Source organism: Homo sapiens, chromosome 14 (assembly GCF_000001405.40).
Source record: "Homo sapiens chromosome 14, GRCh38.p14 Primary Assembly".
Taxonomy (NCBI): domain Eukaryota; kingdom Metazoa; phylum Chordata; class Mammalia; order Primates; family Hominidae; genus Homo; species Homo sapiens.
Genome location: NC_000014.9, coordinates 105433751 through 105453049, shown reverse-complemented (window position 1 = coordinate 105453049; position 19299 = coordinate 105433751). Strand labels below are relative to the sequence as shown.

At 58.2% G+C, this 19299-nt stretch overlaps 1 protein-coding gene across 21 annotated transcripts in view, besides 3 other annotated features; it reads right to left on the bottom strand.

Annotated features, from left to right (window-relative positions):
- The window catches only part of MTA1 (metastasis associated 1), a 50903-nt gene that overhangs the window by 17680 nt on the left and 13924 nt on the right, over positions 1 to 19299 (bottom strand). For 8 of the 21 annotated variants that reach the window (XM_047431904.1, NM_004689.4, NM_001411061.1 and 5 more), the window contains exons 2-6: positions 14311 to 14378; positions 7539 to 7632; positions 3641 to 3691; positions 2866 to 2992; positions 2726 to 2789 (exon numbers count right to left, since the gene is read on the bottom strand). In XM_047431904.1, coding sequence (XP_047287860.1) covers positions 2726 to 2789; positions 2866 to 2992; positions 3641 to 3691; positions 7539 to 7632; positions 14311 to 14378 — 404 coding nt within the window. Of the gene's footprint in view, positions 1 to 2725; positions 2790 to 2865; positions 2993 to 3640; positions 3692 to 7538; positions 7633 to 12199; positions 12596 to 14310; positions 14379 to 19299 lie in introns of those variants that run through there. The other 13 variants (XM_047431906.1, NM_001411062.1, XM_047431908.1 and 10 more) reach the window with 8 other exon arrangements.
- Positions 4025 to 4164: a silencer, noted in NCBI's record as "silent region_6238". NCBI's record gives its function as "represses an Ori minimal core promoter by ATAC-STARR-seq in GM12878 lymphoblastoid cells {active_cell/tissue: GM12878}" and the evidence as "EXISTENCE:reporter gene assay evidence [ECO:0000049][PMID:35858748]".
- Positions 15051 to 15647: an enhancer, noted in NCBI's record as "H3K4me1 hESC enhancer chr14:105903740-105904336 (GRCh37/hg19 assembly coordinates)". NCBI's record gives its function as "activates a minimal SCP1, AML or CMV promoter by ChIP-STARR-seq in primed H9 embryonic stem cells {active_cell/tissue: H9 hESC(primed)}" and the evidence as "EXISTENCE:reporter gene assay evidence [ECO:0000049][PMID:30033119]".
- Positions 15648 to 16245: an enhancer, noted in NCBI's record as "H3K4me1 hESC enhancer chr14:105903142-105903739 (GRCh37/hg19 assembly coordinates)". NCBI's record gives its function as "activates a minimal SCP1, AML or CMV promoter by ChIP-STARR-seq in primed H9 embryonic stem cells {active_cell/tissue: H9 hESC(primed)}" and the evidence as "EXISTENCE:reporter gene assay evidence [ECO:0000049][PMID:30033119]".

Sequence of the window (19299 nt, the reverse complement as noted above, 5' to 3'; positions counted from 1 at the left end):
TTGAAGCAGGCCTGTCCGGGCCTGACCCTGGAGTCCCAGCCTGAGCACCTGGCCTCAGCCAGGGCTGCACTTTCTTCTGCATGTGTGCCTGGCGTCCAATCACCCTCCCGTTTCCAGGTCATCCTCCTGATTCCTGTGGGTCGTCTTTTCCAGCCCTTACCCGCTTTCCCTGTCTCTCCTATTCTGAAAGCTACTCTGCGTGTTTTCTTTCAAGAGCTACCTTTAAAGTCCAGCATGACACCTGCTCCATGTGTGACCACGAGCCATGCTTCAGGGCCTTCGTCCTCTTGAACTGACACGACTATCCAGAGGCCAGCTGCCAGCCTCAGCCTCAGCTCCTACTCTGCCTGGATCTTTTATTTTTTTTGGAGATAGGGTCTTGCTCTATCACCCAAGATAGAGTACAGTGGTGCGATCTTGCTTCAGTGAAGCCTCCGCCTCTTGACTCAAGCAATCCTCCCACCTCAGCCTCCTGAGTAGCTGGGACAACAGTAAGTGTGCACCACCACGCCTGGCTAATGTTTTTTACTTTTGTAGAGGTGAGGTCTCACTATGATGCCCAGGCTGCTCTTGAACTCCTGAGCTCAAGTGATTCCCCCGGCCTTGGCCTCCCAAAGTGCTGGGATTACAGGCATGAGCCACTGTACCCGGCCTGTTTCTTTAAATTAATAAACACAAGTGGTTTCTATTTGGTGCCGGACTGCGCCACTGGTCAGGGCCTGGGTGTGTCTGTGACTGCTGTGTGCTGTTTCTGCACTCTTGCTTATCTGTGACATGAGCCTGTGTTTATCAGGACTTCATCAGTGAGGGTTATTTGAGGCGAGGCAGGGGCACGATCGCCCAGGGGCCAGTGGCACAAGCTTCTGCCAGGTGCTAAGTGTACTCACCCTGAGCCTGTTACATTAAATTCCCATATTGGGGCTGTTCAGAAACCCCAGGTAAGAAAGAAGAGGGAAGTGGCTGGGCGCAGTGGCTCATGCCTGTAATCCCAACAGTTCGGGAGGCAGAGGCGGGATGATCACCTGAGGTCAGGAGTTTGAGACCAGCCCGGCTAACATGGTGAAACCCCATTTCTACTAAAAATACAAAAAATTAGCCGGACATGGTGACACACGTCTGTAATCCCAGCTACTCGGGAGGCTGAGACAGGAGAATCGCTTGAACCCGGGAGGCGGAGGTTGCAGTGAGCTGAGATCGCGCCACTGTACTCCAGCCTGGGCAACAAGAGCGAAACTCTGTCTCAAAAAAAAAAAAAAAAAAAAAAAACAAAAAAAGAAAAAGAAAAAGGGGGGAAGGGCTGCATCGTGCAGCAGGAGGGTTTCAGGGTGCCTGAGCAGCCTGTTTTGTCCCCGGCAAGCATGGACCCGGCCGTTTCTGGGCGGACACAGTGCAGACAGGCTTGTCACTGCACCTGCTGCTTCCTCACGGGCCTTTTTTGCTAACAAACATTTTCTGTGCCCACAGATACATTTCTGCAGTCTCACCCTCTCTGTGTGGCTCTGTCAATAAGGGCACTCCTCATTCCTGAGTGGAAGCCTTCACAGCGACCCCCACAGCCTCTGCTCCCGCCCAGCATGTTGTGGCTCAGCCTTCTGGGAAGCTGGTCTGGCAGCCTGAGAGGGTTCGAGCCCTGCCCATGCTCCACGCATGTGTTACGACCCCAGGCCAAGCCCTGCCTGCTCTTCTCTGCCTGCTCATGACTCTGAGCTAAGGCACGACCACAGCCCTAGCTGAGCCACTGTCGCCCTTCACGCCTGTTTCCAGGCTGTGTGGTGGGAATGGGGACCGGGGCCACAGAGGTAGTGCAGGGCTGAGCTTGGGACACACCGTGGCCATCCTGGATCCTTCAGAGCCCATGCCAGAGCGCCGATGGCCACGACAGAGATGAGCCCCCCTGGGATGGGCAGGGTGGGGGCCGCATCCAGCAACCTGCATCTGAGCTGACTGGACACGCTGGGGGTGTTCAGGTCACAAGACTCCAGCCAGGTGGCAGCAGAGCCCGTGGGAGGCCAAGCCCTAGGCCTGGAGATGCGCCTGCCCCTTGGCAGGTGTGCCCCGCAACTGTGACAGGCACTCCAGGGAACCAACACACTCCAGACGCTTTTGCCCCCACGTGGCCTCAGAAAACCCAACCCTCCCGTTCGCTGGATCTCACAGCAGCCTCAGTGCCACCGCTCTCCGTCAGGCGACACTGCTCCCCAGGGATGTATGGCATTGTCGGGACACATTTTTTGGTTGTCACGCCTTGGGGGATGCTATACGGCAGGTTAACACCGTATAATCACAGGTGACCCCCAGATAAGAATCACCTGGTAACACCGTATAATCACAGTGACCCCCAAGGTGGGCCTACCAGGACTCTGCCCACCGCCCAGGAGAGACCAGCCAAGACTCCTGCGAAGACTCAGGTGGCCCCTGCCCCCACCTGCCTCAGCCACACCCTCCCCAGGGGGACCTCCCCTCGCTGGCTGTCTGGGTGGCAGTGGCAAGAGGAAAGAGCTCCAAGCTCCTGGCCCACAACTCTGGACGCGTAGGGTGGGGGCGGCCACACACCAGGACACCTGGAAGTGACAGTCAGGACGCAATCCCCGCTTCCCCCCAGAACAGCCTGGGCCTAGAGGGAGGAGGGAAAATCGTCTCCGCCGCCCAGGCCAGCAGAGGTCATAGGTAGAGGAAACAGTGGCCCGGGACTGGCTGCGGCAGACCAGGCCGGGCTGGGCCTCACCTCCCGCTCCAGGTAGGACTTGAGCGACTCGGTCTCGTTGAGCAGGGTGACGCTGCACTTGCCCCTGGAAGAGAAGGACGGGCAGGCTGGAAAGGCGAGGGCAGCCCGAGGGGCCCAGGGCGGGAGCTGCTGGGGGCTACCTGATGTGCGTGGCGGGCAGAGACTCCAGCTGCCGGGAGAGGAACAGCTCCCGATGCCGCAGCTGGTGCTTTAGTTTCTCGGGCAGGTCCACCATTTCCGGGTTCTCCATTTCCTCTTCTATTTCCCCTGAAGGACAAGGAGCCCCTGTCAGCACCGCGGCAGACGCACACTGCCAGACCAAGGCCCACCCCACCAGCCCCACCTGGCGCCAGCACGCAGGAGGCCCAGTCCTGGGAGGCGTGCCTCCTCCTGCTGCCGGACACTGTCCCACTGCCCCACCCTATGGCGGCCCGGCGGCTCCTTGGCAGGTACCCCTGCAGACACTCTGGTGCCCACGTGCCCTTTAAGTCCAGGCACCCTAAAGGCCCAGACTCCCCAGGGCATGAAGATGGAAGGAGGAGGGAGAACAAGGTCCGGGCCAGCCCCAGAAGCAGCAGGCAAGAGCAAGAGGAGCGGGGGAGTCGGCGGCTGCCAAGAGCCCAGGCCAGGAGGGCGAGGGGCAGCCGCCCTCTGTCCGTCCCCATCTCGTGGCCAGACAGCCCCATACAGCCCACCACAGACCTCCCACACCAGCAGGTCACCCTCAGGCCGGGGCCGCACCAAGCCTGGGCCGTGGGCCGGACACAAGGGAGGGCCCCTCCTCAGCCGGGCCGGCCGGGCGCAGGGCACAGGCATGCAGGCGGCCCGCCCAAACTCTGTCCCTCAGCGGCGCTGCCGCCCCCAGCCCAGGGACACAGACAGGAGGACGCCCTCCTTGCGGAGGCCGGCTCTTACCTTCCTCGCCGTTGTCCGCCCCCGGTCCGGCCTTATAGCAGACTGACAGGGCTATATAACAGACAGACAGCACCCGGCAGCACGGTCAGCACAGGGTGGCGGCCTGCTCCCTGCCCAGGGCCCGGACCGAGGGCTGTGCCGCCAGGGGGCAGGGCAGAACGGGGGCCGCAGGCCTCCCGGTGGGGCGTGAAGACCACCCGGTTGAAGATCATCTGGGCCTCGACGTCCCCCCACTCTGGCTGCCCATCCACCCAGTGCCAAGCCTCTTTGGGAAGAGCCCAGACAAGCCTGGCTGTGGAGGGCCCCTGTCCAGAGGCCACCCCTGCCCCCACTCCACTGGGGCTTCCCAGAACAGGCTGTCCAGATGAGACCGGGGCCGGGCACCGGCCAGCAGCATGGGGATTCCTGCCCTGTGCTAGGAACCCAAGTAGGGTTCTTATAACACCCAAAATGGGGGCGTGCAGTGGTGCTCCCCACCGCCCCTCGCACGCTCAGCACCGGCCGCCAGTGGGCCACTCATCCCGCTCAGCGCCCTGCCGGCTCTCTGAGCCCAAGGTCCCCAGATGGGACCACAGCCAGCCGGGCTGCTCGCTCTCTGCGGCCCCCTTGTGGTGCCTGCAGGAAGTCCTGGCTCCTCTGGGCCCTCCCAGGCGCCAACAGCTAAGACTGAGGCTGGGAGCAGCCATGCTGGGCCTGTTCTGGGCCGGCCCTATCTGGGCCTCAAAAGCCTGGGGTGTCTGGCGGCTGAGCCTCACCTCCTCCCGGTCCATAGAACAGGGCAGGGCCGACCAGGACAGCCCCAGTCCTCTCATCCCAGGCCAACACATCTCACTCGCTCCCACTTCTGGGGACCCACGAGCAAACTGCACCCTGAACTCAGACATCACCAGGGCCCAGAGGCCCACACACCAGCCCCAGACCAGAGGCTGGCTTTTGTTCACGCCCGCCCTATGCCAGGCCCCATCCGAGCACTGACCCAGCCTGGACAGGAGCCCACAGCGGCTCCGAAACTCCCATTTCACCAGCGTCCCGGTCAGCAGAACAGGGCTCTGTGGTGCAGCCTGTCGGAGATGCGGGCGAGGTGGGCCTACAGCTCCTCAGAAGACCCTCAACAGGCAGAAACACCCAGGCAGGAGGTGGGGCTGGCTAGTGTACCCTGCACCCCTCACACTCTGAACCCTCCCTCAGACCCTGGATACACCCCTAAGCGTGAGGCCCAGGCTGTGCCCTCACTCCCACTCTTGGCTGTGGTCTCCAGGGCCCCCACGCCCTCCTCTGAGGAGGGACGTTCCCCTCTCCCTGTCATTCTGTCCTGAGAAAGGCTTCATGCTCACAGCCCTGCCGGGGGGAGGGCTTCTCTGCCACAGGGGCCACAGTGCAGCCTGGCGGGTGTCTACCCTCCACCCTGAGGCCTGCACTGTGGGCTGGACGCCCCAGCAGGGGCTGGGTGGAGGCAGTGACGTGGGAGAGCCAGAGGCCTCCCAGAGTGTCCTCACACCTGTCCCTGGGATCAGCTGGGGGCCTCACCCTGGCTGCCATGAGCTCACAGAGAAGCAGGAGAAACGGAGATTGACACAACCCCGGGGGGTGTGGGCCCTGCAGAATCACCGCAAGGCCCAGCCGCCAGGCAAGAGTGGGGCCGCGCTCTGAGTCCCTGGACCAGCGGCAGACCCATCACCCATGACGCCTGCTCCCTGCAGCTGGGCTCTCAGTTCATAGGAACGCCCTGCAGAGGGGCCGCCACGCAGCTTTCCAGGGAGCACCGTCCAAAGGGGCTGTGCTGTGTACCTGGGGGGGCCAGTGCTCGAGCTGGGACACTGCTCTCCACCCAGTCCTATCAGCCCCAACGAGGCCCTTCTGGAAAACCTGCCCTCTGATACCTCTAATCACGTTATGTCTGGAGTCCCCTTCTGGGGCTCTTCCAGCAAAAGGCCATCCTCTGGGGCGTCTGAGAGCAGAACCTCAGCCAAGGGGGCCACAGTACCCTCAAAAACCACTAAACCACTGATACAGGCTCTCTGGAGCAGGGACACTGTGCCCCCAGGTGCCAGAGGACAGAGACAGGATCCACCCTGGGCCAGCCATAAACATGCCCAACTCAACGGTGGCGCCTGACTCCCCAGGCCACACAGACTGGCAGGGCCACACTGCGGCCGCTCAGCCTGGGCACTGCTTCTCCAGCGGGCCAGCCCGCTCCCCACCACTGCTTCTCCAGCGAGCCAGGCCGCTCCCCACCACTGCTTCTCCAGCGGGCCAGCCCTGCAGAGTCGACATAGGCCAGCCTCCAACACTAAGAACCGCCAGCCGTGCTGCTGACTGGCACCCAGCACCTGCAGGGCCAAGGGCCACACCAAACACCCCTCCAGAATGTGTAGCCTGTGGACCTTCAACATCCCCAGCTCTCCTCCTTGGTGCCTGGAGCCCGCCGAGTGCAGCAGTGGAGTACACAGGCTTTGGGGTCAGAGGTCAAGGATCACCATGCCCCACCTTGAACGCTCCCCTCCTCTGAGCAGAGAGCTAGGAGGTCCAGTTCCTCACAAAGCCAGAGAAAGCCCATGGTCAACTGGCAGCTCCCTTTGGGCCAGCCACAGGCCCCACAGCCCAGTGTCCAGAGTGGACCCAGGCTCGGGGGCCCGGCCCAGCTGCACTGACCCAGGGCAGCTCACGTCCGCATCCACTGGTTGCTGAGGAAAGGTCCCAGCTGTCCGGTGGGCAAGGCAGTGGGGTTAAGGGACACCTTCCTTCCACAAGCGCCTGCCCTGGCCGACTCCCAGCAAAGGCTCAGGAACAAGGCATCGGTGGCAGGATGGTCTGTCCTGTCCCTAAGCCCCTCCCAGAGCAGGGGGAGGTTGCCTGGGCTGACTTCCTGCCCCTCACCCACAGCGCTGGGACGGGGCAGAAGATGCGAGGGTCCTCCCACCCGACCCACCGCAAACCCACAGTCCCTGGACCTCACCCCATTAGGGGTCGTGGGAGGTTACAGGTGGGACCTTGGCCCACCCCAGCGACACGGGTACCCGGGCAGTCACATGCCTCACCTACTGGGAAATGTCACCCTACAGACCACAGCCTCAGCCTGGGCTCAGATCCCACCCCAGGTGATGTGTCAGAGTGGAAGCCAAAAATGCCCCTCATGCCTGCCCCCACCGACACATGAAGGGCCTCAGTGGGGTACCACACTGTGTCTGGTGCAGGTGGGGCCCAGCTCGGCAGGCCCTGTGTCAGTAGCATGTGGAGGGCGTGGGGGTGCCTCTGGCTCCTGGCTCTGAAGTCAACATCCCCCGGCACAGGAGACTCCACCACCTGCGAGCACCTGTTCCCGGGGGAGAAGCTGGGTCCCCAAGGCTGAGGGCATTCCCATGCAGCCAGTGGCTTCCTCCCACACGCTGTGCTGGCCACAGCAGCCCCTCCCAGCCAGGTTACTAAACTTGGGTTTGAATCGTAAAGAATAAGGAGAGGACTGCTTTCCTGAAAACACTACTCAGAATCCCAACAGAAGCCTCTCCGCAAAATTAAAAAGAGAGAGACATTGGCAAGTGCAGGCAGCAGGGTCCCACCAGCCTGGAAAGTCTCCAGAAGTCATCATAGAAGGGAAAAAGAAGCCTCGATCAATGATGCCCACACCCAGCCACACCATGACAAGCTTGCAGAGGATGCCAGTGAGAGACAGACCACTCCGGGGGGCGTGCGAGGACTTCATTCACCCAGCCCCCGAGGAAACGGAGCCAGGACACCCCCGCCCACTGTGGAAGGGAGAAAAAGAGACGCCAGAGTGAGTTGGGCAGAGGGTGGCCCCACGAGGCCAGGATGCCGATGGGCCCTAGGGAAGAAGGACCCCGCCAGCCCTCCCCAGCCGACCCTCCCGCCAGGCGGGCACCCCAGGGAAGGCCGGACTCACTTGCGTGCTTGTCGGCCAGGGCGATGAGGGTGCTGGAGATGTCCCGCCTCCGGTAGAAGCACACCACTTTGGCCTCCACGTTCCCATTGGCCGTCTGTAACAGCAAGGCAGGGGCGTCTGAGAAACGCGACCAAACCCGGGCTGCACAGCTCCCAGGAGGGGCTCCAAGGCCGGACCCTGCCGTCCAGGGACTGCAGGTGTAACCACACCACCCCTCGGGACTCCAGGAGGGCACTTCACAAATGGAGCAAATCCTGCAGCTCTGGACGCCCGTGGCGTCTATCCCAGGGGAGAAGGCGGGCGTGTGCACCCAACCTCAACCTGTGTCTCCATTCTCCCTCCCTTCCAGACCCCAGTGTACCACCTGAGAACAGCAGGGTCCCAAGGAGGAAAAGGCCCCCGCCACACTGGGTAGGACCTCAGTCAGCTCCTGGGAGGCCACGCCCAGCTATCCCAGCCCCTCTGGGGTGACCTGCACAGCAGCCACGGCCCTAGCGGCGGACGCAGCCTGGACCCCCCGCATGGGACCAGCCCTCCCACCTGGCCTGGCTGACAAACGTCTCCAAGTCAAGACGGCTGTAAAACGCCACCAGAGAAGCACGTATGTTTTCTGAACGAGTTTTTATAACATCTTTGCTACTGCAAGAATTGTGCTGTAATTCTAATCACAGTGCAAGTGCCTAATGGAATACTATTTATAACTCTTTTTTTTTTTTTTTTTAAGATGGGGTCTCACTCTGTCGCCCAGGCTGGAGTGCAGTGTTGTGATCTTGGCTCACTGCAACCTCTGCCTCCTGGGTTCAAGTGATTCTCCTGCCTCAGCCTCCCAGGTAGCTGAGATTACAAGCGTGAGCCACCACGACCAGCTAATTTTTGTATTTTCAGTAGAGACAGGGTTTTGCCATGTTGGCCAGGCTGGTCTGGAACCCCTGACCTCAAGCAATCTGCCTGCCTCAGCCCCACAAAGTGCTGGGATTACAGGTGTAAACAGCACCCAGCCTCACCTAACTTTTTAATTTTTTGAGATAGGGTCTCACTCTGTTGCCCAGACTAGAATGCAGCAGTGTGATGTCAGGTCACTGCAGCCTCCATCTCCCAGGACCACAGTCCAATTACACCATGCCTGGCTTTTTTTTTGAGACAGAGTCTTGCTCTGTCGCCCAGGCTGGAGTGCAGTGGTGCAATCTCGGCTCACTGCAAGCTCCGCCTCCTGGGTTCACGCCATTCTCCTGCCTCAGCCTCCCGAGTAGCTGGGACTACAGGCGCCCACCACCACGCCCGGCTAATTTTTTTGTATTTTTTAGTAGAGACTGGGTTTCACCGTGTTAGCCAGGATGGCCTCGATCTCCTGACCTCGTGATCCGCCCGTCTTGGTCTCTCAAAGTGCTGGGGTTACAGGCGTGAGCCACCGCACCCGGCCTTTTTAGATGGAGTCTCACTCTGTCGCCCAGGCTGGAGGGCAGTGGTGCGATCTCAGCTCACTGCAACCTCCACCTCCCGGGTTCAAGCGATTCTCCTGCCTCAGCCTCCTGAGTAGCTGGAACTATAGGCACCCACCACCACACCGGCTCATTTTTGTATTTTTAGTAGAGACGGGGTTTTACCATGTTGGCCAGGATGGTCTCTATCTCCTGACCTCGTGACCCACCCGCCTCAGCCTCCCAAAGTGCTGGGATTACAGGCATGAGCCACCGCACCCAGCCAACCTGGCTAATTTTTAAATTTTTTGTAGAGACGGGGTTTCACCACATTGCTCAGGCTAATCTTGAACTCCTGGACTCCAGCAATCTGCCCGCCTTGGCCTCCCAGAGTGCTAGGATTACAGGAGTAAGCCAAGGCACCTGGCCACTTTTCTTAAAGATAATTTGGTTTAATGTTATAAATGGGTTGGGGGCAGTGGCTCACTCCCAGGAGTTCAAGACCAGCCTGGGCAACATGGTGAAACCTCATCTCTATAAAATGTGTTTTAAAAATTAACCAGATGCAGTGGTGTGCGCCTGTAGTCCCAGCTACTTGGGAGGCTGAGGTGAGAGGATCACTTGGGCCTGGGAGGTCAAGGCTGCAATGAGTTGAGATCGTGCCACTGCACTCTGGTCTGAGCAAAAGAGCAAGACCTTGTTTCAAAAAAGCAACAACAAAAAAGAAAGAATAAAGAGAAAAGTGCTCAGTTGCTCTGCACAGCCTGCCGGGAGCCGGGCGTTCTCGAGGGTGGAATTCCTCTGTTTGGGACGTGCATCTCCTCTCCCCTTCGCATCTGTATCTGCTCACTATGGTGGTGTGAACCCAGGGACCACCATGCTCTGCTTCAAGTCATGATCCAATGTGGCCTGACCCTCCTGCAGGTCGAGCTGTCCCTACCCTGGCCGCCGGGTTCTCGCTTTGTTGGCTCCTGTGTCCCTGACAGGCTCCACCGCAGTGGGGTTACATCCACATCTGATCACAGTGACACACACAGACCATCCAATGTCTCAGCGAGCCATGAACCCTGCAAGAACACATGACCGCAGCCACCCCACCCGGGCAGCTGGGACCGTGGGGCCAGGCTCTTCCGCATTCAGGTTCCCACCAGCTCAGCGCCTCAGGCCAGGCCTCCCATTGCCACACATGCACCCCACCCTCCAGGATCACTGTGTGCATTCCATGACGCTCAAGGTCTGTTCTGCTGTGTTCCTGCACACAGTGGACTCAGTCACACTCGGGGTCTGTTCTGTTGTGTTGTGTTCCTGCACACAGCGGACTCAGTCACACTCGGGGTCTGTTGTGTTCTGCTGTGTTCCTGCACACAGCGGACTCAGTCACACTCGGGGTCTGTTCTGTTGTGTTGTGTTCCTGCACACAGCGGACTCAGTCACACTCGGGGTCTGTTCTGAGACGCTCCTGCACACACAGGTAAAGGCGGTGAGGCCACACTAGGCCATTCTTTCTTCTCTTCCTTCGAACACCTTTGCTTCCTGAGATTAACAATCGTCTTTTTTCTCCACTTGCCTAGTTTTTCATGGAATCATCACAGATTCTTCCCTAAAGTGCTCGGCAGCAGAGCTCCCAAAGAGAAAGGGCTCATATCAGGGCGCCTGCGAGGCCCCTCCCAGAGCTGGGGTCCACCCTGCTTGCTGCCTGCACCAGGGGCCGCATCTTCCTGGGCGGGAGGAACCTGCGCCTCCCTCGTGTTGGAAAGGCGCGGAGGAGTGCACTCCAAGGCCTCAGTCAGGAAACCTCACTCATCTGCCTTCCGGGAGATGGAGCTTGGCTGGGCGTGGAGCCTCCACACCTGAACGCGGCTGCCGAAAGGCAAAGTGGGTTTTGACTCCGGTGCTTCGTGTGTGACCCACTTTTTCTCTAAACACATTTCTTCTCCCGTGTTCTAAAATTTTAAATACACCTTGAAGGGGCCCCTCTTTATTGCTTTGCTCGCTCCTTCTCTGCTATTAACTGGACGTTGGACCAATGGACTGATGTCTGATTTTTTTCTCTCCTAGTTTCTTTGTGTTTTTGCCCCATCTTCTGTGCGGTATCCTCAACTTTATCACCTGATCCTTTCATTTCATTTGCTACTTCTCCTAACCCAAGTGTCAAGAGCTTTCCTCTCATCTGACCACATCCCAGGATGGATCCCATCCATTTCTCAGAGAACATTCACGGGCTTTGTTTTGCTTTAGTTTCCTTCTGTTCCCTGCACTGGCCCTTCCTCTGAGTTCCTTTTTTACTTTTTTATTTTTTTGAGACAGAGTCTCGCTCTGTCGCCCAGGCTGGAGTGTAGTGGCGGGATCTCGGCTCACTGCAAGCTCCACCTCCCGGGTTCACGCCATTCTCCTGCCTCAGCCTCCCGAGTAGCTGGGATCACAGGCGCCCGCCACCACGCCCGGCTAATTTTTTGTATTTTTAGTAGAGACGGAGTTTCACCGTATTAGCCAGGATGGTCTCGATCTCCTGATCTTGTGATCCGCCCGCCTCGGCCTCTCAAAGTGCTGGGATTCCAGGCGTGAGCCCCTGCGTCCAGCCTCTGAGTTCAATTTTTACATGTGCTGGCTGACCTTCCTGTTAAAAGCCCCCCCGCCCCGCCCCATACGCCTTGCGGCTTTTCATCCCTGGGAGCCTCCCCGGTGCTGGGCAGCTCGCTGCATGGGCTGCACCCATGGGTGCTGGGGTAGCGGGCATTCTGCTGGGTCCCCGATGCCAGCAGCTGGGTCTGTGGGCTTTAGAAGTCTGGCCGCTAGGGTCCTGGGAGCCAAGGAGGCAAGAGGGGCGGGGGGGCCCACCAGGGGACAGGCCATGAGCCAGGCGATCCCCACTTCCAGCCCCCGCACGAACTGTGCTGGCCTGGGTCTGGTGCCCCAAATCTGGGTCCTCTGAGTCCACTGCTCCAGCCCAGGGAAGGGCTCTGTGGGACCACCTGACCCCCCAGACAGGCCTTCCGCGCTGCCAGCCACATGTCACCATGGTTCCTGTTCTCCCCATCCTGACCCAGGCCAGGGCCAGGGCCTCTCAGGTTGCCCAGTCTGCCTGGCTGCCTTCCAAGCTGTGCCCATACCTCCCAGTGGCACCGCCTCTCCCACCTTCCTTGCCCTGTGGGTGCAGAGCCCCAGCACCACTTTCTTGTTATTTGAGGGGGCGTTCAGTCCAGGGAACAGAGGGGAGGTCTGTACTCAACCAGCTGCGCCCACCTGGAAGCCCCGCCTGGAGCTCCTTGGCGTGGAGGGCACTGGCCGCACTCTGTCGCAGGCCTGCGGGTTCTTTTCCACATGGTGAGCGTCTGGCTCGGCTGCCCTGCCTGAACAGTCCAAGAGAGTAGTCGTGCCCCTCACAGGCTGGTGTCCCGCCCAGAGACAGGCAAGTGCCCACGCCATGTGGCCCTGGCCCTGAGGAGGAGGGAGTCCTAGGACGAAGGGGACGCCTCTGAGCGTGTGCAATGCTACATGTGTAACTGAACATCGCCCAAGGGCTGGAAGCCAGCCCCCTGCCTGCACACGCCTGCAATCTACTGTCTGCACATGGAAGCCGGAAGCAGCACGAGGGAACCTTCCTGACAGTGGCACCTCCCAGCAGTGGCACTCGGCCAGGCGCCCACGGAGGCACTGCAGCCTCCCGCCCCGGGTTGCCTGCCAGCTGGCTGTGTGGGGCCAGCAGTGCCATCTGCCGGCCGCCCCTCCACTACACAGACCAGGAGGGACACAGGACCTCCCCCAGCCATGGTTCAGCGTCAGCTGAGGAACCTCCCTCTGCACCTGTTTCCCTACAGTCCACATGCTGGGATGCGTAAAGTGCTGCCCCGCACTCAGGAGGCTCAGCCACAGGAGTGGCGCCCCATTCCGGCAGTACCCAAGTGGCCTTGCTCTGCAGGCGGGCAGGCCCTGCCCAGCAGGGGCAGTGAGGCAGACTCAGAAGACACCCAGGTCATTGCCTGTGCCTCCAACAAACAGGCCTGGCCCTCAGACCTCCCAGGAAGCTGCGGGGGAGCAGATGTCGCACCCCATGCTCCTCGGCCCCAGGTGGTGGCAGATACCGCAGGGAATGGCCCTCGACAAGCGCAGCCAGGGAAGCCCGGAGCCCAGCATGGCTACGTCAGAGGTGGCGCGCTAACCTTCCCCCCGCTGCCCCCTCTGATCCCAAGAACCCCACGTCACCGCTGCCACCAAGCCTGAGGTCCAGGAAGGCAGCTTCTCCCAGGTGAGCCTGCAGCATCCAGATGGAACACCAAGGGCCCGAGTGCCCCAGGCCTGCCGAGTGGGCAGGGCTCCTAGGAGAAGGCAGCCATCGGGCCACTGGCTCCAGGGGATCGGGGGCTCAGGAGCCCTGCAGGCAGGCACAGAGAGGTCTGTGAAGCACCCAGCACCCCACCCCACTCTCTGCTGGAACCATGTGTCCACTGGTGGGGACAACCTGCCCTCCCTCAACACCCTTAGAAAGTCTCCAACCAGGAGGAGGAGAAGGGACGCTGGGGGACCCACCCACCACCCCTGAGGACAGCGAGAAGGCTCCCAGGGTGTGCGGGCGCCCTACACCTCCATGGCCATCTACGGCTCTGTCTCCCGAGCTGATGGGACGGAGGCTGTGCCGAGGCAGTGGAGGCCAGGAGTGGCTGGGGCTGAGGGGCCCATGTGTCACCACCCCCCAGGAAGGATCTGGTGCTGCCAGGCTCAATGCATGGGCACAACCACGTCCCCCGACCAAACAGCAAGCAACTGCCAAGGACTCATGGCAGACACAAACCAGGTGGGAGCAAGGGCTGCCTGAGTGACCAGGGAGGGCGCTTCCAGCCACGCAGACACCTCAGGGTTGGGGGCAGAGCTCACAGCCCTGCAGGGCTGCCTGAGTGACCAGGGAGGGTGCTTCCAGCCATGCAGACACCTCAGGGGTGGGGGCAGAGCTCACAGCCCTGCAGGGCTGGCTGCCAGGGTTCGGGCAGGGCAGGGGCACCGAGTATGGCTTTCTGCAGCCTTTGGTTGGTTTCAGAATCACACCATTCCGCTCGGGCTCCCCAGGGGACACTGGCATCTTCAGGGGACCCAGCACCCACAGACCAAGTGTAGAGTGGGCAGGCAGCTCAGGGCAGCTGCGCTGGGTCCTGCATGAGGCCACCAGGCCCCTCACTCAGTATCTCCAAGGAGGAGCCACGGTGCAGGTGACAGTGGACGGAGTCACTGAAGGGCCTGTGCAGTGGCCAGTCCAAGATCAGCCCCGAAAGGGGGCCACCCACACTGGCCACCCACAGGGCAGGAGCTGGCGTAGCCCCCACCCACTACCCCCCTGCAGCAACACCAGGGCCCCCCAGTACCTTGTTGAGCTCCTCGATTCTCCGGATCAGGTATGGGTTGCTGGAGGAGTTCTCAAAGTAGACGTAGTCTGCAAACAGCAACAGAGAGAGTGCCACCTGTGGCACCAAAGGCCAGACCCAGTCCCACCTCCCGTGGCCCAGGGACTCGGGGCTCAGGCGGGGCAGTGTCATCCCCTCACCTCTGCTCCCTCAGGCGAGGAATAAACAGAGGAAGCGAAGCCCCCACACCATCAGGGAGGGGTGGCTGCAACCAAAATGGACTGACAGGCTGGGTCAGGGACAGGGAGATGCATCTGGAGGGGCCGTTCCCAGCAGGAGCAGACAGCCCCCATCCCGGATCCTCACAGACGCCAGCTGCCCCCAAGGGCTCAGGCCCTTCTTGGGGAAGCTGTGGGGGCCAGGCGGCAGCTTCCCAGGCAAAGCCCAGCTCCAGCACTGCCCAGACCCTGCCGGGAGCCCCAGGACACCTTCCCACTGGCAGCAGCCAGCCTGGATGCTACACCCCCAGAGCCACGTGGCCACCACCAGCCACCAGCCCTGCCCACAGCGGCCCCCATCTTTCCCTCCAAAACCAACAGCAGTGACTACACAGAGAACACAGTTGGGGCTTCCTGGGCCCAGGCAGGCTCAAAAACAGGACAGAGTTGCTCCAGGAATGACAGGAATACCAGAGCTCACCAGAGCTCAGGGACAGCAACAGGCAGCAGGCACTGGGAGTGCCCCAAGATCGGCCATCAGGTGAGTACAGCGCTTCCCTCAGCGATGAAACCATCTGGCCCTCCAGCCTTCTCACCAGCTCCACAGACAGAGAGCCACGGAACCTTCCGGAGCCCAGAGGCTTACCCTGGAAGGCCCAGGGAAGTCCAGGCTGGTGGTGCTGACACCCCGATGCTCCAGGCCTCCTGGGGCCACCGCAGGGGCTCAGCTTGGGAGGCACTGAGGCCATGTCCTCACGAACCAGCACCACGAGCACCCTCGCCAGCCCACCCTGCATCAGCTCCGCAGGGGGGACTGAGCAGGAGGCCTGTCTCAGCTGGAATCAGCCCAGAGGCCCGCACAGGCCTGGGATTCAGCAAAATACAGCAAGACCAGCACCAAAGAAGCCCAGCCCATCTGTCCACACGGAGGCCAAACCCGTGCCGCGAGGACCCTGTGGAGGGGCCTGGAGAGCATCTCCCTCCTGCTGCTGGCACACACCTGCAGGCTCATGCCCCTGAGGACACGCCAGTGAGGACGCACCTGCAGGCTCGTGCCCGTGAGGACACACCCATGAGGACGCACCTGCAGGCTCATGCCCGTGAGGACACACCCCTGAGGATGCACCTGCAGTCACACGCCCATGAGGACACTCCCATGAGGACACACCCCTGAGGACGCACCTGCAGCCACACACCCATGAGGACACTCCCATGAGGACGCACCTGCAGGCACACGCCCATGAGGACGCACCTGCAGGCACATGCCCATGAGGACACACCCGTGAGGACACACCTGCAGGCACACGCCCGTGAGGACACATCTGTGGGTGCACACCTGGGAGGACGCACCTGTTTGGGCACCCATGTGCAAAGTCACACCTGTGCATGCAGCTCCTGAGCCCCCCGTGCTGCCTGAGCAAACCAGCTGATCAGATGAGGCTACGCCCACATAGAGCTCCACAGGACAACGGGCTAGGAGCATGGAGAGCCCAGAGGGGACACAGCCACGGTGCCCGGGGGACACGCACAGCAGTGAGCGTTCCCTGCAGAAAAGCCTGCAGAAGTGACAGGGGGCCTGTGGGTCTGTGTCACGGCTACAGGAGTGTTCTGAATGCAGGATGTGTCCACGCTTGTGCAACGCTGTGAAAACGCTAGAATTCACTGAATCACACACTCAAAATTGGTGGGTTTCATCACATGTAGATATCTCAAACTTTTTTTTAAAAAAGGTCTCAAATCAACGGTCTAACTTTTTACTCCAAGAAACCAAATAAATTAAATTCAAAACAATGCATCAAACTTGCCAAAAAATGGGGGAAAAATGTCCCTTAAGTGAGGAAAGACAAACAAGCTGGGGTCCATCCACTTGATGGAAGACTCCTCGGCAGGGGCCAGGAGTGAAGCCCCCTGGCAGCTCGGGGTCTGCAGCACCGGAAGGCCCTCTCGGGGGAGGTGGCAGGCACGACGGCTGCGTGCAGTGGGGCCACCTACAAGCTGCTGGCGCAGGAAAACCAAGATGTGGAAGACGTGAGAATTTGGGAATTTGGGAACTATTCTGTATCATGACTGTGGTACAACAACATGACTATGGACTTCCAAAATTCACGGAACTGTACACGTAAAAGGAATTGTACTGAATGTAAATTATGCCTTAATAAACGGACAAATAAAGCAAGAAGGCAGGAAATGATAGAGTAAAAATAACATGAAACAAAAATAGTAGAGGGGAAAATATCAGAGGAACCAAAAGCTGAGTGTTTGCTTGTTTGAGATGAAGTTTCGCTCTTGTTGCCCAGGCTGGATGGAGTGCAATGGAGCGATCTCAGCTCACTGCAACCTCCGCCTCCCGGGTTCAAGTGATTCTTCTGCCTCAACCTCCCGAGTAGCTGGGATTACAGGAGCCTACCACCACGCCCAGTTAATTTTTGTATTTTTAGTAGAGACGGGGTTTCACCATGTTGGCCAGGCTGGTCTCAAACTCCTGACCTCAGGTGATCCACCTGCCTCAGTCTCCCAAAGTGCTGAGATTACAGGCATGAGCCACCATGCCCAGCCTACAAGCTGGTTATTAACAAGATCAATAAACTGAAATCTATAGCCAGACTGACAAAGAAACAAAGAGAGAAGCCACAAGTAACCAACATCAGGAACGACAGATGGGACATCACTACGGATCCTACTGACACGAGAAGGGGTGTAAGGAGTATTATGGAGGACTTTATGCCACAGAACTTGACAACTTAAATGAAATGAACCAATTGCTTGAAAGATATAAACACCAAAGCTCATTCAAGAAGAAACAGGTAACCCTATCCATACTACGGAAATACAACAACAAGAACTCTGCGCCCAGATGGCTTCATTGGTGAAGTCTATCAAACATTTAAGGAAAAATTAACACCAATTCTACACAACTCTTCCAGAAAACAGAAAAGGAGGGAACACTCCCCAGCTGACAGTGAGAACGCCATTGCCCTGATACCAAAACCAAAGACACACAAGAAATCAGGAGGATTGCTTCAGTCCAGGAGTTTGAGACCAGCTTAGGCAACATCACAGGACCCCATCTCTAAAAAAAAATTATTTTTAATTATGCAGGTGTGGTAGCATGTGCCTGTAGTCCCAGCTGCTTGGGGGCTAAGGCAGAAGGATCGCTTAAGCCCAGGAGTTTGGGGCTGCAGTGAGCCATGATGGTACCACTGCACTCAAGCCTGGGTGACAGAGTGAGATGCCATCTCTAAATATAACTTAAATTTTTAAAAACATTCAAAAACCAGTGTAGCTCATCATATTCACAGAATAAGTAAGAAAAGCCCTATGACCATCTCCGTAGATGCAAGAATATAATCTGAAAAAATCCAACACATACGCTATTAAACTCTGAGCAAACAAGGAACTAAAGGGTACTTCCTCAGCCTGGTAATACATTTACAAAAAACCTACAGCTAGCATCATCCTCAGTGGTGAGAAAAGGGCTGCTTCTGCTGAGATCAGGGATGTGCCAAGGGTATAGCTACTCTCACCACTACTGCTGACCATCGAGGAAGTCCCAGCCAGTACAATGGGAAGAAAAATCAATGAAAGGCACACAGACTGGATATGAAGAAATAAAACTTTCTATACGCAGATGATGTGACTTTCTATATAGAAATCCCCAGAGTCTACAAAAAAAGCTATTGAAACTGCTGAGTAAGAGTTTTGCAAGGTCACAGGTCAATATATAAAAATAAGTCCTCTTTTGGGCTGGGCATGGTGGCTCACGCCTGTAATCCCAGCACTTTGGGAGGCTGAGGCGGGCGGATCACCTGAGGTTGGGAGTTCAAGACCAGCCTGACCAATATGGAGCTACCCCATCTCCACTAAAAATACAAAAAAAATAGCTGGGTGTGGTGGTGTATGCCCGTAATCCCAGCTACTCAGGAGGCTGAGGCAGGACAATCGCTTGAACCCGGGAGGCGGAGGTTGCGGTGAGCTGAGATCACGCCATTCACTGCACTCCAGCCTGGGTAACAAGAGTGAAACTCTGTCTCAAAAAAAAAAAAAAAAAAAAAGTCCTCTTTCTACGTACTACTAACAAATGGAAATCAAAATTGTAAAAGTACTATTCACAAGAGCACCAAGAAAAATTAAATACTTACAATATAAATTTTACAAAAGATCTATAGATGTTTAAAGATCAAAAGATCTGTGCAAAGATCTACATGCTGAAAAGTACAAAACACTGGTGAGAAAAATCAGCAAAGATCTAAATAAATGGTAACAGATAAGGTGTCAAGGGTTAAAATACATGTTGGTGAGCTTCCTATAAAGGTCCAGATAGTCAATACTCCAGGCTGTGCAGGCCAAGAGGCCACACCAAGGATATTACATAGGGACTAATGTAACAATTTCTACACATTTCATACTGATGAAATCAAAATAACTGGGCCAGGCGCAGTGGCTCACACCTGTAATGCCAGCACTTCAGGAGGCGGGCAGATCACTTCAGGAGATCGAGACCATCCTGGCCAACATGGTGAAAGCCTGTCTCTACTGAAATACAAAAAATTAGCCAGGTGTGGTGGCACGCACCTGTAGTCCCAGCTACGTGGGAGGCTGAGGCAGGGGAATCGCTTGAACCTGGGAGGCGGAGCTTGCAGTGAGCCGAGATTGTGCCACTGCACTCCAGCCTGGTGACAGAGCAAGACCCCATCTAAAAAAATTTTTTTAAAAAGCTGAGTGCAGCTTTCTATAATACAGATGCACTCATGAGAGGACTTGTTTTGGGAGATGACATATTGCTTCACTGGGT